A 26067-nucleotide genomic window follows, 5' to 3' on the forward strand; every position below is an offset into this window, starting at 1 on the left:
TTGTTTCTACATATTCTGGAGTTCTACATAATTAAACACTTAGTAGTTAGGAGCCTCATTACTTAGTATGTGAATCACTCTATGCATTAAAGTGTTGCATTAATGTTACGGAATCCTTGGGGTGTCCCTTCACTGATCAGAAACCTCTGTGTCCACTGGCACCTTTGCCTGAGTTTTGCTCTGGACTGCAGGGCTCATTCTGCCCACTCAGCCTGGCAGACTGCACTCAGCTCCTGCTACCGGCCTGGATCCTATGCCTGCCAAGGTCAAGACAGGCACGAAGCAGCAAGGAGTGCGTGAATGAGGATGGGGAATGGCCAGTGAGCACAGCCGGGCACACTCGCTGTGATGGGACATGCAGTCCCAGGCATTGACACGGGTGCTGGCTCCCTACAAGGCTGTGGCTACACCAGGCATACCATAAGCAACTTCCACAGCTGACACCAGGAAATGCAGTGGCTCCAAGAAGCTTGGAGATGCCAGAAACTGCAGAACCCCAAAGAGGATATCGTAGCCCTGGCTCAGGAAGCTTCTAGGTCTGGGCTCTCCAAAGGGCTGCAGCTCTTCTCTCTTTCTCTCTTCTTGTTGCCTGCAATGTGGTAAGCAAGGAACGTGTTTCAGCCCTGTTTGTGTTACAGCTCCTTTAGCCCTGCCATTGAGCGGGTCCTGGTGAGAGGAGGGGCCAGCTGGGCTTCCTGGATGGAGTAAGGGCTCCAAAAGCTGTGAAACTCACTCATTTCCTGCATCAGGACTTACTTTGGTCCTGGAAGAATAATATTGAAGATATATGCTTAAACTATTCCTAACACCAGGATTTGTGCGTTTGTTTTCTTCCTCAAGAAAAATATAAACAGCGAAAATGTTGCTGTAAGTTTCCCTGTGTCCTCTCTCCCTCTCTCCATTCCCCCTCCCTCAAAACTAAAGTAAAAGGAATGTTAACTGCCCATTTTTCTGTGGCCAGCAGACCTTATCTCTACTCCCAATTCCAATTCCTTGTAAATATACTTTGTAAAGTCCTGTGAGATCCTGTCTCCTTTGCCATGCCGCTGCAAGGTCATAAAGTAAATATAACCTAAGTTGCAATTCTGGTTTTCCTCAAAATCTAAGACATGTCACAAAATAATTTACTTCCTTTTTTTCTCGCTCTAGTAACATCTTCCTGCCGCACGTATTTCCTGCCTTAAAGAGTTTAAAAGGCAATCACCCAAAACCAGCAGTGGCTACCGGTTCGGGACCCCTTCCACACTGTGGAAGCTTTGTATTTTCACTCTGCTCAATAAAGCCTACAGCTTTTTCTCTCTATCGGTCTGTGTCTCTATCACTTGCTGTGATCAGCTACCACACCAATTCTTTGGCATGGCGAAGCAAGAACCTTGCCGTTACACTGGGTTCTTTTTGTGTGTCCTGGAAGAATGACGTACACAGACAAGTGGAGGGTGAACAAGATGAAAGGAGCTATACTGAGTGATAGAACAGCTTAGAGAAGACCAGCAGTGGGTAGCTCCTCTTTGTAGGCAGGGTGTCCCAACAAGTGTTCAGCTCTCAGCAGAGAGGGTAGCTCCTCTCTGCAGCTGGTCATTTCATCTTCTCTTTAGTCAGCAGAGAGGGTAGCTCCTCTCTGAGGGCAGGTCATCCGATCAATTCTTCAGCTCTCAGCAGAGAGGGTAGCTCCTCTCTGCAGCTGGTCATTTCATCTTCTCTTCAGTGAGCAGAGAGGGTAGCTCCTCTCTGAGGGCAGGTCATCCCACCAACTCTTCAGCTCTCAGTAGAGAGGGTAGCTCCTCTCTACAGCTGGTCATCATGTCATCTCCATCCTCTCCTTGAGTCTGGCTGAGTCTGGGGGTTTTTATGAGCCTCAGAGGAGAGGAAGCGTGTGCTGACTGGTCCATGTAGCGGGGGCATTGGCAGCACCAGAAAAAAGTAATGCAAGATCCCTCTCCAGACTGCAGGACTGGCAGCCCAGCCCCAGGCTTCAGGTCCAACCTGGCTTGAAAGTGGGGCTTCACTGGGACCACTCCCTTCCATTCAGAAGCCTGTCTGCCTCATGCCTGTTCATGGTGCCCAGGCTTTTCATATCAAGGAGTGGCTGCATGCTAGTACTGGGCTGTCCTCAGCACCTCCTCACCCTCCCTCCCATGCTTGTCAATGCCCAAAGTCCACAGGGGCCTGAGGTGGCAGGGGGCTGGTGTGTTAACACTGCCCTGAGCATGTGCACATCCAGCCTGGCTCAGACAGTGCCTGGGCTTGCCCCAACTTTGCCCTGAGATCAGAGTGGGTGCTGATAGCAGGGAGAAGCCAGACACTGGGAGCAGGCACTTTCAAATCTGCGGGGTAAAGTTGGGGGGCCTTCCTGGGCCTCAAAGAATGCAGAGATGCCTGGGTCCGCAACCATGGGAGGGTGGCTACAGCTGCACCCAGGGAACTCCCATCCCGTCAGCTCAGAAGGAACGGGTTCCTGCTTGTCCCCAGCTCCTGTCAGCTCTGAGGAGCATGCAGCCCCAGCTGGGCCTCACCACAGCTTGGGGCGGGGGCTTCGTGTCCTCACTCTCTGGGCCTGGGCTGTCATCCTAGGTGGGGTGATGTTGCTGTGAGTTCTTTCTGTGGCCCCAGTGCTTAGGGGTGGCCTGGGTCTCCCCCTCTCCCAGCTGATGGCCCTGCTTGAGGGGCGCCTCCAGGAGCAGATCATGGCCCTGGGCCCGGCCATGGGGAGCGTCAGGCTCAGTGGTCACCTCCATGTGGGGCAGATCCTAGGGACGCAGCCCTGGGCAGCCCTGCACAAAGCCTCTTGTTGAGGTGCAGGAACTTGGTGCTGTCGATGGGTTGGGTGTAGTGCTTGCATCCTGGCTGGGTTCTTGAAGCCTGGGATGCTCCCACTTGCCACACAGGCCTCTGATGCACAGCTCCAGTTCCAAGTCTCAGGGCTGACCCAGGAGTTGCTGCTTCCAGCCCAGCTCCTGATAACCACCATTCTGCTTTCTATGAATTCAGCTTTCTTAGGTTTCACATATGAGTGAGATCATGTGGTATTTGCCTTTTGGTGCCTGGCTTATTTCACTTATCTCAATGTCCTCCAAGTGAATCCATGTGCAAAAGCAGCACCTCCCTGGGCCCAGCCCAGCCTTGGGGCCTCTCTCTGTTCACTCCTCCATGGCCAGCCACACTGCTTTCACATCAGGGGGTGACTGGGCCTGGCCCCACCAAAGTGGCTTCCAGAGGTGTGTTCCCAGGGCAGCAGGCCCTAGGGAGAAGCTCCGGGGACTACCTGCCTTGGTGTCTGAATCTGAGGACTTATATCCTGGGCCTGTACCCCACTGCAGCTGGCATCATGGCAGCAGCTGCTTCAGAGGGGCTGCCACTGCCATCATTAACACTAATTGTTACCAATTGCTAATAAAAGTAATATCTTGGTAATTAACTGAAAAACTAAGTGAAAGAGACAGAACAAAATTGATTAGTATTTAATTACACAAAAAATTAAATTTTAACCTATCAGTTCAAAATACTTCATGATAAATCTATTACTTGGCTCCACATGGGAAACTTGGCTATTTTGCAGGAGATATAGGTGCAGTAACCAAAAGTAATGGTTGCAATATACAGTTAAATATTCAAGTTATATCTGGATACGATCCCTTTATCTTTCTTTACTCATATTCAACTCTCTTAACGACTCTTCAAATAAAAAATATTTTTTAATGCTTACTAGGTACCAAACACTGAGATGTATTAGCTTTGTTTCAGAATTTAGAAACTAATCAGCTTGTTTACTATGTGTATGTTTCTGTGTGTTGGAGATGGGAGGGTGGTTGGAGGTGGGGGATGTGGTGGATAAGTCTCACAGTATATTTTAAAGTTAACATCTATAATTGTCCTTGTTATACAATGTAAATAAATAGAGCCTTTTACTTTTACTCATTGACCTGGGCTGCATGTTGTAATCTTGTTTCAGTAGTTAAATTCTTACCTCTTTTCTGTGTGAATCCATGTTGTTTGCAGGTCTGATACCCTGATTCTCCAGAATATTAATTCACTTTTGCTCTACTCATATCTTCCTTGATAAGTCCATCTTTTCCAATAAAAGTAGTTTCTAGATGTACTCCGCTTGAAGATTTAAAAATTTTAACAGATAAAAGTATGTATTTAGTGCACAATATGATGTTTTGACATATATCTACATTGTGAAATAAGTGAATCTAGCTAATTAACATATACATTATCTCACAGTTTTCAGTTTTTTGATGAGAACATTTTACATCTCTCAGCATTTTCAAGAATGCAATATATTAAATATGATGGATTGCTTAAAGTAATTCCTCTTATCTAAATAAACCTATTCATATGTAAAATTTTGTTATCTTTTAACCAACATCTTCTAAACCTTCCCCTGCTACCCTACCTTCCACCCCAGCTCCTGATAACCACCATTCTACTGTCTAATTCTATGAGTTCAGTTTTCTTTGGTTTCACATATGAGTGAGATCACGTGGTATTTACCTTTTTATGCCTGGCTTATTTCACTTACTCAATGTCCTCCAAGTCAATCCATGTTGCAAATGACAGAATTCCCTGTCTTTTAATAATTAAACAGTATTCCATTGTAGTTTTACAGTTTTATAATAGTATTTCATATATATACATGTCACATTTTTTATCCATTCTTCTACTAGTGCGCACTTAGGTGGATTCCATACCGTGATTATTGTGAATAATTCTGCTTGCAAATTCAAACAGTTAAAATTTCCTTATTCACATGGCCAAACTACTGCTAAAATCCAATTTTTGTAACATTCATTTTTATTTTAAAATGTCCACTTTCCACTGCATGTTTGTATGCTGAATTACATAATCTGTAACAAATAATTTGAGCATCTGTTGCACCTTGCTCTACTCACTGAATACTTGGCCTCCTTGTATCAATTTTCTCTAGTCATTGGCCTCAAATAATTATTTCTTTTGGACTCTTAAATACTAGGGGAAAATGTCTGTCTTTTTTTTGTGTGTTTGATAAAAATAAGTCTAAGCAAAGCTCAAGTTAAAATAGTGAAGTTTTTGTCTGATATGGTCTTTGAATGTGTTACCATTTCAAATAATCCTAGTTTCTGACTCCAAGTTATTGGATAAGTGGACAAAACAATAGTATTAAGTGGGTTGAATCAGAAATTTATATATTTTTTCAATTTAATGTAAAAAAAGTAAATTTTCACACTTTTAAATCCTATTTGATATGCTGTGAGTTATGTTTACACAATGCAAATACAAACAAAGGTAATACAAAATTTTGGTCATTAAAGCTATCTACTGTCAAAATGATTCCAAATATATTTTGAAAAATAAACATAAAGGTAACCAAATACATTCTTCATAGCTACTTGTTTTATGGTCTTGGAGTCTGTTAAAACTGATTTAGATAAAATTATTTATTAGAGATTTAAACTCATTCCACTACCAAATAGCCAGTTTTAATTATATTTTTCAATTCATTGTATATAAGCTTTCAAATTTATTCAAAATAAAGTGACTTTTGATATTTTTAAGATATTCAACACAGATGCCACTTTTAATTATTGACTTATCCTGTTATGGCTAATTAAATATGCAATACAATGTTATGAAAATAAGTTAATACCTACTCTAAGACAATAATATATATTGCGTGCTGGCATTAGACATAACAAAATAGATAAATGATTTAAAATTTTATTTAAGTGTTGAACATTTCAAAAAATTTCAAAAGACTATTAAGGTGATTTTTCTGTCACAAAAAAAAGTGAATCTAAAATAATCTCAACGAAGCTCTCAATTTGTGTAAGGCTTTTTTCTCCCTCTGAAAGAAAAATACCTTTCTATTTTCTCGACTTAATTTGATTTCCAACTGAAAATTTATTATGTTCCTATGTCCTTCTGATTTTTTATTTTTATTAGAGATCATTATACTACTGGGAAATTATCATGTCTCAGAGACAATGTAAGCAGGGTCTTCTCAACCTTGATTACATTTCATTGTGTTTTTAAATTAATGTCTGTACACTGAGATCAATTAATATTTTTTAAGAAAATACTTTCTGCACAACAAATTACATTTAAATTGTGTGCAGTTCATTGTCATAAAGTGTAATTTAGGAAAATTTTTATCACTTCTTGGTTGTGATGAAAGGAAAAGTCTGATAAATATTAGCCCCTACAAATGATAAGAACATAAGAAATGAAAGTTCTCTTTAAGGTGTTTAAATGTTTTAGAATGGATTTTATTTCCTGAGGATTTATGTGATAACATAAACTAAGGCAAGATGCTTAAATAATAATGGGGAAAATAATAGTGTGCATGGGTGAGTTGAGTATCTGGAACATTTTGCATGATGACTAGCATAACTTTCTCTCAAGCAGTAATATCTCTAACACAAAATTCAGAGGTTTTTTTTCAGATGGATAAAATCAAGTATGAACATATATTTTTCATACATTGAATTAGAGAATGAAACACTGTTGAAATGAAATCATTTTCCTTAGTTATGCCTGAGTTTAAACTGGGAAACAATCTTTGTCCCTTTTATCCAATGAGCAGGTGTTTCAAACAAATTTGGAGAGTTATAAACAACGTGAAGAAAATAACACTTTAGCTTTTCACACACCAGTCATCTTCATCATTGAATCCCAAGTTAAAGTTCTGAAAACAGTTTTGAAAAATGCTTTTTCCTTTGGCCACAGGAATAGCTACTGAGAGCAACCCTGAGGATGATACTGGATGACAGTCTTCGTAAAATCACTTGAAATATTAGTTCAGTTTAGCCTTGGGTTGGCTTCCACTTAAAACTCCATGTTAAGGAAAAATAGCACCTCTTTCTAATATTAAAACACACACACACACACACACACACACACACACACACAAATGTACATAAAACTGCAACATACTTTCTGCAACTGACATAGAACACTCCATGTTATCACTGGCACCATAGTTTATAAAGGGAAAATATTGTCTGGGTCATTGGAGACATTTAAAATTTCAGTCTTTTGGGGAGAGCTTTTTAAAATCCTGCTTCTACATTCAGTATTTGTTAGTTATGTTTTTATTCAGAACTAGGTTCTCTGGTAGTTTGCACATTTTGTAGCTTCCCAGCACAAACACAAAAACGTTGTAAGTTCTTTATGACTAATCTAATATATAGTCTAGACACATATTGCTGTGTTTAATAAGGACATGATGTAGAAAACATAAGTATATGAGTACTGAATTTGACTAAACTGTATTGTTACATCAGATGTCAATGGTATTAATGGATAAATGTCAACATGTTATTAAGTGGAAATATTGGGTATATATACATTTATTAGGGGATTGATCTCAAATCTCTGTATCATGATGTTTAATACTGCACTCGAAAAAATTGAAATTTTAGAAAAAACTATAAGAATTTAGGAGACATAACCATGTAAAATGTTATGTTATGCTGAGGGAACATGGCCGACAAGAAGCAGTTAGTGTGAGTCATTCTCATGGCAAGAAAGAAAAGTGATGAGTGAATATACCCTCAGCTGAAACATTCAGGTGCACTCATTTGGATTAGTCAAGGAAATAGCAGAGAATGGATAGGAGCAAAACAGGATGACCGTCCACCTGAGAGCAACAAGGAACCAGGGGAGGCTCCTCAACCCAGGGAAATGGTGAGTGAGTGGGAGACCCTGGGGTCCCACACTTCTTCCATGGATCTTTGTCACCTTGGGGTCAGGAGATCCCCTGTGAACCCATTTCACCAGAGCCTTCAGTCTGACATGCAGAGATACATGGTATCTTAGCAGAGCTGCTTCTCAGACACATGCAGAATCCTAGAAGCAGTGGATCCCTGGGCATCCAGGCAATAAGTAGCTGGAGCTCTGGCAAAGGGGGATATTAGCCTTCCTTATCTTACCCCAAAAAGGGGCTGAGTGAGGGGGCTAGGCAGCAATGGTATGCAGGCTTCACTTGCATGACATCTTACAAAGTCCAAGACCCACTGACCTGGGATTCTAGCGGCCCCCCACAGTGTTCTCAAGCCTTCACCCACTCTGCACTTCCCTGAGATGGAGCTCACAGAGGGAGGGGTGGGCTGTAATCTTTTCCATTCCGCAGCCTTCGTCTTTGCTGTCTCCAGGCTCTGGAGAGTCTCAAGGGGAAGGGGGGGCTGGTGTGGACCCCTAGCACAGTACAGCCGCCACACACAAAAAAGCGATGGGAATGTCCTCCACAGAGGTCCCAGACTTTACTTCTCCTTACTGGGCAGAGCCTCTTGACCTGGGACTCCAGCATAACCACCACACCCCCTACCTGATCACCTAAATCAGAGGTAGCTCAACATTTCTCTGAGGAGGAAATCCCAGAGTCAACCCACAGCCTCTCCATTATTGCAGCTGCAGTGGTAACACCCTAACCACCCTCCAGCTGAGGAAGGAACAAAGGCTTAGTCACTACACAGGCATCTTCAGCACAGAGCACACAACGTACTGTGGGGAGCCCAGTCCTTCTATCCTGGGAAACCCCACCCAAAACATTCAACTAGGCAGGACCCCCAGCTCAGGACTGCAGAACAGAAGCCCCACAGACTGAGCATACCCACTGGTAGTGACTCTGAGTTTCACTGGGGAGAGGCTCCCAGAGGAAACAACAGCCCCTCTGCCACTGCCACTGAGAGGTGAAGCCAGCTGGACTTCCTGGGTCAGGTGGGGACTTGGAGAATTTTCTGTGTCTAGCTAAAGGATTGTAAATGCACCAATCAGCACTCTGAAAAATGGACCAATCAGTGCTCTGTAAAATGGACCAATCAGCAGCACATGGTTGGGGCCAAATAAGGGAATAAAAACTGGCCATCCCAGCCAGCAGCCGCAACCCACTGGGGTCCCCTTCCACGCTGTGGAAGCTTTGTTCTTTCGCTCTTCACAATAATTCTTGCTGCTGCTCACTCTTTGGGTCTGCACCACCTTTAAGAGCTGTAACGCTCACCGCAAAGGTCTGCGGCTTCACTCCTGAAGTCAGCGAGACTACGAACCCACCGGAAGGAAGAAACTTCGGACACATCTGAACATCTGAAGGAACAAACTCCAGACACACCATCTTTAAGAGCTGTAACACTCACTGCAAAGGTCTACGGTTTCATTATTGAAGTCAGCGAGACCAAGAATGCATCAGAAGGAATAAATTCTGGACACACCACAACAGTGGTTCCACTCCTGTTGCCCTTGGTCTGGGGAAGAAACAAAATTTGAGGGCTACACCAGAGCTTACAGTATGCCATCATCACCGTAAGAGAGATCAGTCTGTCCTATCTGTGAGCTCTTCATCCATGCTCCACAACAAGTGGAACCCCCAGCTCATGCTAGCAGTGCAGCTGCCTCACCCGCTGGCTGAACACTCCCTGTAGCAGTATCTTTGTGTCTGTCAGAGGTGGAGCTCCCAGGGCAACCAAAAGCCCCTCCATCACTGCCTCTGCTTTTCTTAGACTGGAGAAGGAACAAAGACCCTAAGTTATTTATCCAGACCTCCAGCAAGCTGCAGTAACCCTAAGGAGAGGAGGCCAGTCTGTCTTCCACAGGTCCCAACCACTCCCCCTGCTTGGCACCAGGCAAGGTGCCCTCGCTAAGCCCCCACAGCTTGGGCCCAGAGTACAGCCCCTTATACTGGGCCAATGGGGCTGTTTGGTGACAGCTCTGCATGTCTCTGGGGTGGAGCCCCAGGAGAAAAGTGAAAGACCCTTGCCCACAAGCACTGCTAAGTTCCCTTTCTCTGGTACTTGCAAGTTGGGAAGAGAACATAAACCTTGAGATTGCCCCAGGGCTGTGGTGGGCAGACTGGGAGTGCCAAGCCATGAAATGCAGTTAACACTCAAATGTTAAAGGAGCACATACTTTCAGTGCATTGAGAGGGAGCATGGCTGCAACTGTAAGGAAACACAGAGGAGCCATGTGGTTGAGCAAGAGTCTACCTACTCTACATTATGGTTAAGTGCTATTTACTGGATCATATTCCAAAATTTAAATGTCAAAAATACTTTACTACCATACCACACTGTGAAACCAAATACAAGGAGTCAGCTACACATAAAGACTTTTCACAGAGCTTCAGCCCTCTGGAAACATCCAAAAAAAAAGAATTCAACTGACTGTACTCAACCTACACCACAGCTAAAGGAACACCCACAGAGATGAGAAAGAACCAGCATAAGAACTCTGGCAACTTAAATGGTCAGAGTGTCTTCTGTCCTCCTAATGACCAAACTAGCCATCTCAGCCTAGTTAAGGATTCTTATTCTCCACCAAATGTCCTTAACTAGGCTGAAATGCCAGATATAAAATCAGAATATGGAAAGAAACAAAGATAATGGAGATACAGGAGAATGTCAAACCCCAATTTAAGGAAGCTAAGAATCACAATAAAATGACAGAAGAGCTGACAGATGAAATAGATAGTATAAAGAAGAACCTAACTGACCTGGTAGAGTTGAAAAACACACTATAAGATTTTTATACTGTAATCACAAGTATTAACATTAGAATTGACCAAGCTGAGGAAAGAATCTCAGAGCTTGATGACTGGATCTTTAAAATAAGACAATCAAACAAAAAATAAGAAAAAATAAAAGGAATGAACAAAATGACATCATTATGTAAAGAAACTTGTGATTATATAAAGAGACCCAATCCATGAATCACTGGTGTCCCTGAAAGAGAAAAAGAGAAAGCAAGCAACATGGAAAACATATTTCAGGACATCATTAATGAAAACCTGCCTAACCTCACTAGAGAGGCCAATATTCACATTCTGGAAATCCAGACAACCCTTGAAAAATACTACGCAAGATGATCATCCCAAAGACACATAATCATCAGATTTTCTAAGATCAAAATGAAAGAAAAAATATTAAAGACAGAGAGAAATGGGAAGTCACCTACAAAGGGAACCCCAAAAAGCTAACAGCAGACCTTCAGCAGAACTCTATAAGCCATAAGAAATTGGGGACCCATATTCAATATTTTCAAGGAAAAAAAACCTCTAACCAAGAATTTCATATCCAACCAATTCAAGCTTCATTAGTGAAGGAGAAATAAGATCTTTTTCAGACAAACAAGTGCTTAGGGACTTTGTTACCACCAGACCTGCCTTACAAGAGCTTCTGAAAAGACCACTAAATACGAAAAGGAAAAATGGTTACCAGCCAATACAAAAACACTCAAGTACACAGATCAATGACAATATAAACAACCACACAAACAAGCCTGCATAACAATCAGTGAATAACATGATGACAGGATCAAATTTACACATATCAATACTAACTTTGAATTTAAATGGACTAAACATGCCAATTAAAAGGCACAGAGTGGCAAGCTGGAAAAAGAAGCAGGACACAGTGGTATCCTGTTTCAAGAGACCCATCTCACATGCAATGACATCCAGAGGCTCCAAATAAGGGGATGGAGAAAAATCTACCAATCAAATGGAAATCAGATAAAACTGGGGTTGCAATCCTAATTTCAGACAAAACAGACTTTAAACCAACAAAGATCAAAAAAGACAAAGAAGGGCGTTATGTAATGGTAAAGGGTTTAATTCAACAAGAAGCCCTAACTATCCTAAATATATATGCATTCAACACAGAAGCACCCAGATTCATGAAGCAAGTTCTCAGGGACATATGAAGAAACTTAGACTCCCTAACAATAACAGTGGGAGAATTCAACACCTCATTGACAGTATTAGACAGATCATCAAGACAGAAAATTAACAAAGATATTCAGGACTTGAACTGAAATTTGATCAAATGGACCTAATAGACATCTATAGAACTCTTTATCCCAAAGCAACAGAATATATATTCTTCTCATCACCAAATGGCACATACTCTAAAATCGACCACACAATCTAACATAAAATAATCCTCAGCAAATTCATAAGAATCAAAATTATACCACCACACTCTTAGACCACAGCACAATAAAAATATAATTCAATACAAAGAAAATCACTCAAACCATGCATTTACTTGGAAATTAAACACCCTGTTCTTGAGTGACTTTTGGGCAAATAATGAAATTAAGGCAGAAATCAAGAAGTCCTTTGAAACTACTGAGAACAAACATACACTACACCGGAATCTCTGGCACTGATAAGGAAGTCTTAAGAGGAAAATTAAACCTAAACCTCTACCTCAAAATGTTAGAAAGATCTCAAATTAACCATCTAAAATCACAACTAGAACTAGAGAAGCAACAGCAAACCAACCCAAAAACTAGCAGAAGATAAGAAATAACCAAAATCAGAGCTGAACTGAAGGCGATTGAGACACACATGCAGAAAAAAGTAAACATTCAAAACATCAGCAAATCCAGGCATTTGTTATTTAAAAAAATTAATAAGAAGACAGATTACTAGCTGGACTAATAAAGAAAAAAAGAGAGACAATTCAAACAAACACAATTAGAAATGACAAAGGGGATATTACCACTTACCCCACAGAAATACAAATAACCATCAAAGACTGCAATGAACATCTCTAGGCACACAAATTAGAAAAAATGGATAAATTCCTGGACACGTACACTCTCCCAAGACTTAACCCAGGAAGAAACTGAATCCCTAAACAGACCAATAATGAACTCCAAGGTGAATCAGCAATAAATAGCCTACCAATCAAAAAAAGCCTAGGACCAGACTGATTCCTAGCTGAATGCTACCAGATATAAAAAGGAGAGCTGGTACCATTCCTACTGAAACTGTTCCAAAAAATCTGAGGAGGAGGAGCTCCTCCCCAACTCATTCTGTGAGGCCAGCATCATCCTTATACTAAAACTTGGCAAAGAGAAACAACAAAAAAGAGCAAACTTCAGGCCAGTATTCTTGATGAACACGATGCAAAAATTCTCAAAAAATCCTAGCAAATCGAATCCAACAGCACATCAAAAAGCTAATTCACCACAGTAAATTAATTAGGCTTTATCCCTGGGATAACAGGTTGATTCAACTAATGTAAATCAATAAACGTGATTCATCACATAAACAAAATTAAAGAGAAGAAACACATGATTATCTCAATACATGCAGAAAACACTTCTGATAAAATACAATATCCTTTCATGTTAAAAATCCTCAATAAACTAGGCATAGAAGGAAAGTACTTCAAAACAATAAGAGCCATCTATGACAAACCTACAGCCAAAATCCTACTGAATGGGCAAAACTGGAAGCATTCCCCTTGAAAACCAGCACAAAATCCAGACAACACTATTCAATATAGTATTGGAAGTCCTCACCACTTCTATTCAATATAGTATAGGAAGTCCTGGCTGGGGCAATCAGGCAAGAGAAAAAAATGAAAGGCATCCAGATAGGAATAGAGGAAGTTAAACTATCCCTGATTGCAGAAGACATGATTCTGTATCTAGAAAACCCCATAGTCTCTGCCCAGAAGCTCCTTAATCTTATACATAACTTCAGCAAAATTTCAGTATACAAAATTAATTTACAAAAATCAGTAGCATTTCTATATGCCAACAACATCCAAGCTGAGAGCCAAATCAGGAACACAATCCCATTCACAAGTGCCACAAAAGGAATAAAATATCTAAAAATACAGCTAACCAGGGGTGAAAGATCTCGACAATTAAAATTACAAAACACTGCTGAAAGAAATCAGAGATGACACAAACAAATGAAAACACATTCCATGCTTATGGATAGGAAGAATCAATATTGCTAAAATGGTCTTGCTGCCCAAAGCAATTTACAGATTCAATGTTATTCCTATCAAGCTACCTATGACATTCTTCACATAACTAGAAAAAACTATTTTAAAATTCATATGGAACCAAAAAGAGCCTGAATAGCCAAGGCAATCCTAAGCAAAAAGAACAAAGCTGGAAGCATCACATTACTCAATTTCAAACTATAATACAGGGCTTCAGTAACCAAAACAGCATGAAAGTGGTACCAAAACAGACACATAGAGCAATACAAATGAATAGAGACCCCAGAAATAAGGCCACACATCTGATCTTTGGCAAACCTGACAAAAACAAGCAATGAGGCAAGGACTCTGCCATATTCAATAAATGGTGTTGAGATAACTGGCTAGCCATCTGCAGAAGATTGAAACTGAACCCCTTCCTTACACAATATACAAAAATCAACTCAAAATAAAGACTAAAATGTAAAACCTAAAACTATAAAAACCCTGAAAGGAATAATCATTCTGGACATAAAAACTGGCAAAGATTTCATGACAAAGACACCAAAGGCAATTGCAACAAAAGTAAAAATTGACAAATGAGATCTAATTAAACTAAAGTGCTTCTGCATAGCAAAACAAACTATCAAGAGAGTAAACACATAATCTTCAGAATGGGAGAAAATATTTGCAACCTATGCATTTGACAAAGGTCTCATATCCAAAATATGTAAAGAACTTAAATTTATAAGCAAATAACAATTCTCCATTAAAAAGTAGGCAAAGGATAAGAATAGACACTTTTCACAAGGAGATATAAATGTAGCAAACAAGCATATAAAAATGCTCTATATCACTAATCATTAGAGAAATACAAATCAAAATCACAATGAGATACCATCTCATACCAGTCAGAATAGCTATTTTTTAAAAAGTCAAAAAAATAACAGTTTCTGTCAAGGTTATAGAGAAAAGGGAACACTTACACACTGCTGGTGGGAGTGTAAATTAGTTCAACTATTGTGGAAAGCAGGGTGGTTATTTCTCAAATAACTAAAAATAAAGTTACCATTTGACCCAGAAATCTCATTACTGGGTATATACCCAAAAGAATACAAAACATTATACAATAGCCAGGCACAGTGGCCCACACCTGTAATTCCAGCGCTTTGGGAGGATGAGGCGGGCAAATCACAAGTTCAGGAGTTTGAGATCAACCTGGTCAATATGGTGAAACCTCGTTTCTAATAAAATTTAAAAAATTAGCCGAGCATGGTGGTGGGCACCTGTAATCCCAGCTACCTGGGAGGCTGAGGCAGGAGAATCACTTGAACTCAGGAAGCAGAGGTTGCAGTGAGCCGAGATTGAGCCACTGCACTCCAGCCTGGGTGACAGAGTGAGAGTCTATCTCAAAAAAAAAAAATTGCACCATAAAGACACATGTGCACATATGTTCATTGTAGCACTATTCACAACGGCAAAGACATGGACTCAACCTAAATGTCCATTGATGGTAGACTGGATAAGGAATATGTGGTACATATACGTCATGAAATACTATGCAGCCATAAAAGAGAATGAGATCATGTCCTTTGCAAGAACATGGATGGAGTTGGAGGTCATTATTGTTAGTAAACTAATGGAGGAACAGAAAAAAAAATATGTATGTTCTAACTTATAAGTGGGAGCTAAATAATGAGAACCAATGGGCATGAAAAAGGAAACAGCCAACACTGAGACCTATTTGAGGGAGGGGATTGGGAGCAGGGAGAGGATCAGGAAACTTACTATTGGGTACTATGCTTAGTACCTTGGTGACAAAACGTTCTGTATAACAAACCGCCATAACATGAGTTTGCTTGTATTAATAAACCTGCACATGTACCTCTGAACCTAAAATAAAAGCTGAAAAAAAAATTGAGTCACAGATCCTAGGTTAAGAAAAACAAAAAAATAGTTATGTTAAAAATACAAAAATAAAAACAATATTGCTTTTTGTAGATATAAATACTGAAAAAACAAATATTTTAAATGCAGCATTTTTTTTTTTTTGGTTAGATGGTTACTAAGGCAAAAAGTACAAAATGCAGATAAAAAGACCTTAGCGTGAATCACAGATCTGCACTAAAACATTCATATAAAACTTAGCAATTTAATTAACTCCCGTGTACTTCAATATTATTATTTTAAATGGTAATGAGAATTCAGACTTCAAACATTTATTGTGAGAAGTTTATGAGTTAATGCAAGAGAAGAATTTCTGGTGGCTAATGAACATGCAAAAGCAAATGTTTTTCACCTTACAAATATATAATGTTGCCTTAACAGTACTTTTTATAAAAAAAATTTAATAAGTATATGTAAAAATCATAAAATTAAATTAAATTGAAGAGATTTAAAATAAGTGTATGTATGAATAATTAAGAGTAGATTATTAAAATGCAAACCAGAAAAAATAGTTGCTTTATTTTTACTCAATTTTTATGTAACTTCTTCCCATATCATTTTGTATGTAGGTGTTAAAAAAAGACTAGTACAATTGTATAATTCTCCCAACATTAATTTTCAAATATTACCTGTAACATAAATTATTTACTATAAAATATTGTATCTACAACTTCAATGTTTAAGTTTTTTATTTGTAGTTTCCCTCTTGAAAAGAAATCTGTATATATTCGGTGCAGTTTTAGAAATACATATCAAATCTTGAATTAGATAACATTTGGCTTTTTCACTATTCCAACTCTTTCTCATAGACATTATTATATTGGTTATATTATGTATACGACAATTTGAATAAAAATAACGAAGTGGGAAAAATGTTCTATTAGAAACAAATCATTAATATAAATTTATATTAAGAAGGTATGGTACTAACATTAGCATAGATTAAAAAGTATATAAAAATATACTCTCACGTCTGTGCTGTTGTATGAACGTTCGTATCTACCTCAAATTTTCAGTGTTGAAATCTAATCCCAAGGTAATAGTATTAAGATGTAAAGGCATTGGGGAGTGACTAGGTCATGGGATTAGGACTCTTATAATGGGAATAGTGCACTTATAGACACCAGAGAGCTAATTCACCCCTTCGCATTGTGAAGACACAGCTACCAAATACTGTCTATGAATCAGAAATTCCTCATCGGACATTGAATCTGGTGATGCTTTTATCTTGGCATTCCTGGCCTCCAGAACTGTATGGAATAAAGTTCTGTTGTTTAAAAGTCACTCCGTTTATGGTATTTTGTTATAGTGGCCCAAAAGGACTAAGCCATCTGGTCACGTAATATATAGAAAAGGGTGGTTTTCAAAAAGAGTAGTGTATATTATAGAAGTTTCACTAATGGTGTTTATTGAATTGGGAATCCGTATGAAAATAAATGAACTACACTTTCACTTTTACAGTAAAATAATTTCAGTAGATTAAAGATCTAAGTGTTAAAAGTGAAATAATCTTTTAAATAAATAAAACACAATTGACATGACTTAAAGGGGGACAGGGAACAGGTCTTTTTTTTTTTTTGAGACAGTCTCGCTCTGTCACCCAGGCTGGAGTGCAGTGGTGTGATCTCGGCTCACTGCAAGCTCCGCCTCCTGGGTTCATGCCATTCTCCCGCCTCAGCCTCCTGAGTAGCTGGGACTACAGGCACCCGCCACCATGCCCGGCTAAATTTTTGTATTTTTAATAGAGGCGGGGTTTCACTGTGTGTTAGCCAGGATGGTCTCGATCTCCTGACCTTGTGATCCATCCACCTCGGCCTCCCAAAGTGCTGGGATTACAGGCGTGAACCACCGTGCCTGGCCAGGGACAGGTCTTTTTTCTGTTTTTCAGCAAACACAAAATCACTATGGAGAAAAATATTTCAAATTTGACTATATTACCTTAAAAGTTAGAAAAAAAATCTTTTTCAACGAAAATATAAGTAGAATAGTAAATCTAAATCACCAGCTAGGGATAATGCATGCCATACATGTAAGCAGTTAAATTTTTGATAGATAATACATAAAAGGCTCACATCTCCCAATACAGAGAAACATAGAGAATTGTGTAAATGAATGGGCAAAAGACTTAAATAGGCAGTTCTCAAATATAAATATAAAATGAGAAACATAATGCTTAATATCATTAAAAACAGAGAAAATAGAATCTAACAATCAAGGATATGCCAAGAAATACCCATAACATTTAAGTTGACAAGACAAGAAATTCTGCAAAGCCAAAGGTTGTGGGGGCATGTAGAGTAGTGAGAACTTTTATGCATCACTAGTTGAGTTATAATTGGATTAACAACCTTGGAGTACTATTTGCATATTTGATGAGTGTGAATATGTATATATTCTGAGACGCAAGTATTCCACTCCCAGGTATCACCTATAAAAGTGGTTACACATATGTGAAAATATTCATAGTAGCATTGTATAAAACCATCAAAAATTATTAATTCATGCATTTGCCCATTATGAAAAATTACTTTGCTTTCTAAAGGTAGGATAGACCCCTGTGAGTCATTACAGTAACTTGTACTCAATATAGACCAATGTGTTCTTGAAACAGTTTATACTAATGTGTCTGACTCACTACTACAGTGAAAAAGAAATAAATCTGGGGCCGTGCGCAGTGACTCATGCCTGTAATCCCAGCACTTTGGGAGGAAAAGGCCGGTGGATCACCTGAGGTTAGGAGCTCAAGACCAGCCTGACCAACAAGGAGAAACCCCATCTCTACTAAAAATACAAAATTAGCCAGGCATGGTGGCACGTGCCTGTAATCCCAGCCACTTGGGAGGCTGAGGCAGGAGAATCGCTTGAACCCTGGAGGTGGAGGTTGTGGTAAGCTGATATCATACCATTGCACTCCAGCCTGAGCAACAAGATCGAAACTCCGTCAAAAAAAAAAAAAAAAGAGAATGAAAGAAATCTGGATAATTCAACCCATTAAACTAGTCAGGAATTACAAAGCTGAAGTTGTGTCCTAGAAGTAGTCCCTTGATATAATAGGAAAATAAATCAAAATTTATTTAAATATATATATATATATATATAAGTCATGGCTAATAGCTTATCTTGAATAAGTTATACCTTTCTAATAAATACTTTAAAAGCAGTAACGATTTTTGTGATAGGCCAAACTGTAACATGACTCCAGTGTTTCTCTTAAATGAACAGTCCTGTATTTTTTTGAGTTGGAGTCTCACTGTGTCACCAGGCTGGAATGCAGTGCTCACTCCAAACTCCGCCTCCTGGATTCAAGGGATTCTCGTCTCTCAGCCTCCTGAGTAGCTCGGATTACAGATACGCGCCATCACACCCAGTTAATTTTTGTGTTTTTAGTAGAGACAGGGTTTCACCAAGTTGGCCAGGATAGTCTCGATCTCCTGACCTTGTGATCTGTCCGTCTCAGCCTCCCAAAGTGCTGGGATTATAGGCTTGAGCCACTGTGTGCAGTCTAACTTGGTTTTAACCAATAGAATATGACAAAGGTGAAGCAATAGCACTCCTGTGACCATGTTTTGTTGGAGTATAGCCAAGGTAAAAGGATTTTGAAAATTTAATAAAGGCCCCTAATAAGTTGACTTTAAGTTAATAGAAAGTAAATTATCCTCCTTAGGCTTGACCTAATCAGGCTAGCCCTTTAAAAGACAGTCTGAAAATCAGAGATTTTTTTCTGCTGTCTTTGAAGAAGCAAAACTCTTCTCTGATATATAAGGCTTTGAGGAAATTCATTCTACCAATACTGTGTAAGCTTGGAGCTTGGAGATGACCTAGAACCTCAGATGAGTCCCCAGCCCTGACACCTTATTGCAGTGATGAATGCCCCAGTAGTAGACCCAGTTTTGCCATGCCCATACACTTCAACTATGGAAACTATGTGATAACTAATGTCCATTATTTATTTCCATTAAATTTGTGAGAGCATATAGAGCATATATAGAAAAGTGAGTTACTCAAAATTAAAATTAAAATAATGATTACATATCTTCTCAAATAATTTAACAAATATTTCTCATTTCTGGGCTGGTAAATTAAATTTTTATAACTCTATGGAATATTAGTTTTGTATCTTTCTCTTTTCTTTATGTTCCCCATCTGAGCCTGGCTGGTCAGAATCTATATTTTAAAAAAGCAGCAGTAATATGTCTAATCTACTCCTGTTCAATAACCTTGGAGAAAGCTTTGAAATTCCTTTGGCCTCAGTTGGTTTTCTGGCAATATGGTGGTCTCCAAAGGGACTATGTGAATGTTAAGTAGGTGCACAAGCTGCTCCATTGTTGGTTGAAGAGATACTGTGAGGGCATTTATTTCATTTATTTGTCATTGCAAACTATTAAAAATCCAGTTTTCAGATTGCTATTATTTAAATGATACATTTCTATGATTATGTGCACATTAATCTTAATGATGTCATTCAAAAACAAAACTACCTACCCAAACACTCAGCCTAGACACTGACAACATAAACCATGCTTTACTGTCTATATTAACATAATTCTACTATTCCATGGTCTTCATTAGCATTATTTTAATTTTCCTAAATGATCCTTCCCAAGAAGAATGGTTTGCATATTCATTATAGAAAGTTTCTGAAAGACTTATGACTCCTCAACAGAAAGTATCAACAATTTGGGGGCTAAGTTGCTATAAATTCCTCCTCTTAAAATCCTTTTCATACATTCCCAACAATCCTATGTTGGTTTTATTAGCTTTACCAAATCCAATCAAGTCCTCTCCTTGAACCACCCTCCTTTAATTGAACTTCCAAATCTGACTAGATTCAGAGTTTACCTTCTCAGAGATACTGACAGAGCTTTGAAACATGGTGTTTTCCCTTATCAATGGAGACAATAAATTCAACTTGTCTATTAACTTGTTATTTGTTTATATTAGGAGACAAATGACTTAAGGACAATATAATATTTATGAAACATTCTAACTCTAAAGTTCTGCACTGATTAAAATGATTTCATCCTTTAGATTTTTGCATTCCTAAAAATGGTATTTTCTTTTGTATTTTGAACCATTTATCTTTCTCTTGCTTGCATTGAATGAGCCATGAAGCAATGTTAGTATGGTAGATTTTGAAATATTTTAAAATGTCTTAAAGTCCTATTCTTGTACATTTAAATAAACAATTTTAGAAAAAAATGAACAGCAATATTTTCGAAAGTTCTAATAATTATTTTGTTACTTAATAACATTTACATTTTCAATTCAAATTTACAAAATTATTTGGAGAATGTATCCTAGGGATACCACACATTAAGGACCTGATCTCCCACAATAAACTCTGGACTTGGCTTTTATTTGTCTTTATCATTTCAGTAGTGCATGACACATGACTTTATATGAGATATTCTTAATATGACCATTTTGAATTACAGTTTTAAAAGAATGATGATTATATGGCAATTGCCCTGTTTTAATTCTTTATATACAGATATTTAAAAAATATTTATATATATATAGCTTGTAGCAAAATCAGAGATAAGAAATAAAAACACGAGCAAGTGTATCATAATTGTTTTTTGGTCCATAACATCTGCAGGAAATAACTGAACGTTTCAGGGACATGTATGGGTACTTGGTTTTAGATAGGAGGTCTCAGGTCCCCGTGTAGTTTTTGCAGTGAATCATGTAACATGTTAAAACATGGTATGTTATGTAAAATATTAAAGCACTGTGATAATATTTCCCAAAATTACCTGTATGCTACAGACTAATATTCCCTATTACATTATATTAATTATTTATAATATTATTAAATAAGTAAATTACTAACTTGTTAAGATTATAAGGAATGACTTAAAATTATAAAGGTTCTTTTCAGGTTAATAAAGATGTATATTATATTGTTATATATCCAAGTAATATATCAACATAATACTTTAAAAATAATTAATATGTTGCTATAGGGAATTATTTCTTTAAAATTCAGTTAAATTAGATTGTTCAATATTTTATTTAACTTCTCACAGACACAAGTAGCTAAGAACTGAAAGGAGTAATTTGCAGAGTAAAGTCAAGACTGCTGCAAATCCCCACACCTGCTAAAACTCACTCCTCTGCTAGCCACAGCTGGAGGAAGAAAATGACTCCTGATTTCTATTTTACCTTCCAAATCTCAAGCACATGCTTTTCTTTGGCAGAATTTAAACTTGGATAGTGGTGTCAAACGCTTCTGGGAAATGCAATTCCAAGTCATCCATTCTCTGTGTAACTGGGGATATTATAGGTGTAGGGAAAAATAGTGTTGTATACCAATGGACATTCTTGAGGAGTTCACCAATGCTCTTCATAAACTTGATCTTGAATTACTCAGTGTCATACCTCATTTTATCATTTAAGTGTTGAGGTATAAAAAAGAATTTCATCATTTAAATCAATATTGTATTTATATTTATCACCACTATTTAGACATACTTCTTTATTATTAAAAATTTAGTACTTTAGTCCTTTTGTTTCATGCAATGTTTTATTGACCAAATATGATTTTGGAAAATGCCCAAGCTCCAAATTAGCTCCACTGGATTTCCAAACTGCATGTATAACAACTTATCTGACATTTCCCAAAAAATGTCTAATAGACATCTTAAACTGAACAGACCAAAGAGACCAAAGAGGTACATTCAACTTCCTTCTGTACTTTTCTTCCTTATCCAGGAAAGGACATAATTTTATACACTTAGTTATCATGTCATGCATCACCTAATTCAGGAAACTCTTGAAAGTAAACGGGGATGCTACTATTAATTAGGTTGAGATAATAGTCATAAAGCAGCAAAATATCTGCTTGATATCTCTGTCTATTTGCAATGGCTATCCTGTCTGCTCTACCACCAAAAGACGTCTTTGTAGGCTACACTAACATCAACATGACATTTCATTTATTTATGTAGAATATATCATGAAATGCTTTTTATACTATCCACAGAGTTATGTAGCCAGCATTGAAATATATTTTTCTGCATATCTTACTTCCTGAAAGCAACTCTGTGCCCATAACAGTCACTCCCCAGCTCCTCACTCCCTTCTATTCCCTACCAACCACTAATCTCCTCTTTAGCCTATATACTTGCATGTTCTGGACATTTAATGTAAATGAAATCAGTCAATATCTCATCTTTCGTGACTGAGTTCTTGCACTTAGCATAATATTATCAAATTTTCTCCATGCATCAATACTTCATTTTTTTCAATGCCAAATAATATTCAGTTGTTTGGATATACATTATACAAGTGCCTTGATATATGCAGGGAATTGTTCCAGGACTCCCATGTGTAGCACAATTTATACATACTCTAGTCCTGCTGTAGGCACTGCAAAACCCATATATTCAAAAGTAGGCCCTCCATGTATGCAGGTTTCTCATTCAGTGAATACTGTATTTTAGAATCACATTGGTTGAAAAAAAAATGGGCATATAAGGGAACCTCATATGATTTGGCTGTGTCACCACCCAAATCTCATCTTGAATTGTAGTTCCTATAATCCCCACATGTCATGGGAGGGACCCAGAGGGAAGTAATTGAATCATGGGAGCAGTTTCCCCTATGCTAGTCTCATGATAGTGAATAAGTTCTCATGAGATCTGATGGCTTTATGAGAGGCCTCTGCCTTCACTCAGTTCTCATTTTTCCTTCTGCCACCACGTGAAGGACGTTTGCTTTCCCTTTTGCCAGGATTATAAGTTTCCTGAGGCCTCCCCAACCATGCTGAACTGTGAGTCAATTAAACCTCTTTCTTTTATAAATTACCCAGTCTCATATATGTCTTTATGGCAGCATGAGAACAAACTAATGCAGTAAATTGGTACCAGGAGGAGTGGGGCACTGCTATAAGGATACTCAAAAATGTGAAAGCAAGTTTGGAACTGGGTAACAGGAAAAGGTTGGAACATTTTTAGAGCTCAGAAGAAGACAGGAAAATGTGGGAAAGTTAGGAACTTCCTAGAGACTTGTTAAATCACATTGACCAAAATGCTGATAGTAATATGGTCAATGAAGTCTAGGCTGAGGTGGTCTCAGATGGAGATGAGGACCTTGTTGGGAACTGAAGCAAAGTTGTCTCTTTTTATGCTTTAGCAAAGAGACTGGTGGCATTTTGTCCTTGTACAAGAGATCTGTAGAATTTTGAACTTGAGACATATGATTTAGGATATCTGGCAGAAGAAATTTCTAAGTGGCAAAGGGTTCAAGAGGAAGCAGAGTATAAAAGTTTGTAAGATTTGCAGCCTAATGATGAAATATAACAGAAAAACCCATTTTCTGGGGAGAAGTTCAAGCCTGCTGCAGATATTTGCATAAGAAACAATGAGGAGCAGAATGTTAATCACCACAACAATGGGGAGCATGTCTCCAGGGCATGTAAGACACCTTCATGACAAGTCCTCTTACCATAGGCCCAGAGTCTTAGGATGGAATAATGGTTTTGTGGAACAGGGCCAGGCCCCCCTGCTCTGTGCAGCCTCAGGACATGGGTGCCCTGCATCCCAGCTACTTTAGCTGAAGCCATGTCTAAAAGGGGCCAACATACAGCTCAGGCCATTGCTTCAAAGGGTGCAAGCCCTAAGCCATGGCAGCTTTCATGTGGTGTTGGGCCTGTGGGTGCACAGAAGTCAATAATTGAGGTTTGGGAACCTCTTCCTAGATTTCAGAGCATGTATGAAAACACCTGGATATCCTAGCAGAAGTCTGTTACAGGGATGGAGCGCTCATGGAGAACCTCTGCTAGGGCAGTGTGAAAGGGAGATGTGAGGTTGGAGCCATCACACAGAGTCCCCACTGGAAACTGCCTAATAGAGCTGTGAGAGGACGGCCACCATCCTACAGACACCAGAATGGTAGCTCCACTGACAGTTTGCATCATGTGGCTAAAAAAGCTGCAAACACTCAATGCCGGCCTGTGAAAGCAGCCAGGAGGGGGGCTGCACCCTGCAAAGCCACAGGGGCAGAGCTGCCCAAGGCAATGGGAACCCAACTCTTTTTTTTTTTTTTTTTTTTTTTTTTTTTTTTTTTTGAGACGGAGTCTCGCTCTCTCGCCCAGGCCGGACTGCGGACTGCAGTGGCGCAATCTCGGCTCACTGCAAGCTCCGCTTCCCGGGTTCACGCCATTCTCCTGCCTCAGCCTCCCGAGTAGCTGGGACTACAGGCGCCCGCCACCGCGCCTGGCTAATTTTTTGTATTTTTAGTAGAGATGGGGTTTCACCTTGTTAGCCAGGATGGTCTCGATCTCCTGACCTCATGATCCACCCGCCTCGGCCTCCCAAAGTGCTGGGATTACAGGCGTGAGCCACCGCGCCCGGCCAAGCCCAACTCTTACATCAGCATGACATGGGTGTGAGACATGGAGTTAAAGGACATCATTTTGGAATTTTAAGGCTCACAGATGGAAGGGACTTGGCTTGTCTCTGATGAGACTTTGGACTTGGACTTTTGGGTTAATGCTGGAATGAGTTAAGACGTTGAGAGATTGTTGGAAGACATAATTGTGTTTTGAATTGTGAGAACATGATATTTGGGAGGGGCCGAAGCAGAATGACATGGTTTGGCTGTGTCCCCACTCAAACCTCATCTTGAATTGTAGCTCCCATAAACCCCACGTGTGGAAGCTAATTGAGTCATGTGGGCAGTTCCCCCGTGCTATTCTGCAGATAGTAAGTTCTCACGAGATTTGATGGTTTTATAAGGGGCTTGACCCTTTGCTCTGTTCTCATTCTCTCTCTTGCCACCATGTGAAGAATCCCATGTTTGCTTCCCCTTCTGCCATGATTGTAAGTTTCCTGAGGCCTCCCCAGGCATGCTGAACTGTGAGTCAATTAAAATTCTTTCTTTTATAAATGAGTCAGTCTTTGGTATGTCATTACAGCAGGATGAGAACAGACTAATATAAAACCCCTGCAGTAACCTCTGTTTTTCAAGGGTTAATTATATCTTGTTTATGCACTATTTGATATGCTGTTGAGGTATTTCCCCCTTTCCATTGTTATAGATGCTAGTATAAAGGTTCCTGTACAGTTATTTACTAGAAAAATATTTTCATTTGTTTTTGGTATATAACTATAAAAGGAAATGTTGGGCTCTATTAACTCTATGTTTAACTTGTTGAGAAACTGTCAAATGATTTTCAAAGTGGCTGCACTATCTCACATTGTAAATCACAGTATAAGAGAGTGCTCATTTCTTCATATCAACACAAACACTTGTTATCATCAGTCACTTTTATTTAGCCATCCTAGTGGATTTAAAATGGTATTTCATTTGCATCTTAACCTCTCTAATGACTAATGATGCCTAGTATTATTTTCATGTGTTTATTAATCATTTGTATCTTTGACTTGGAGAAATGTCTATTCAAATTCATTGACCATTTGAA

At 38.9% G+C, this 26067-nt stretch overlaps 1 long non-coding RNA gene across 1 annotated transcript in view, besides 2 other annotated features; it reads left to right on the forward strand.

Moving 5' to 3' along the window:
• Positions 1–26067, forward strand: part of LOC105370300 (uncharacterized) — a 90882-nt gene that overhangs the window by 45954 nt on the left and 18861 nt on the right. The gene's annotated exons all lie outside the window — the stretch shown is intronic.
• Positions 2173–2674: an enhancer, noted in NCBI's record as "H3K4me1 hESC enhancer chr13:87492703-87493204 (GRCh37/hg19 assembly coordinates)". NCBI's record gives its function as "activates a minimal SCP1, AML or CMV promoter by ChIP-STARR-seq in naive H9 embryonic stem cells {active_cell/tissue: H9 hESC(naive)}" and the evidence as "EXISTENCE:reporter gene assay evidence [ECO:0000049][PMID:30033119]".
• Positions 2675–3174: an enhancer, noted in NCBI's record as "H3K4me1 hESC enhancer chr13:87493205-87493704 (GRCh37/hg19 assembly coordinates)". NCBI's record gives its function as "activates a minimal SCP1, AML or CMV promoter by ChIP-STARR-seq in naive H9 embryonic stem cells {active_cell/tissue: H9 hESC(naive)}" and the evidence as "EXISTENCE:reporter gene assay evidence [ECO:0000049][PMID:30033119]".

The sequence above is a fragment of the Homo sapiens genome, chromosome 13, assembly GCF_000001405.40.
Source record: "Homo sapiens chromosome 13, GRCh38.p14 Primary Assembly".
NCBI classification, from domain to species: domain Eukaryota; kingdom Metazoa; phylum Chordata; class Mammalia; order Primates; family Hominidae; genus Homo; species Homo sapiens.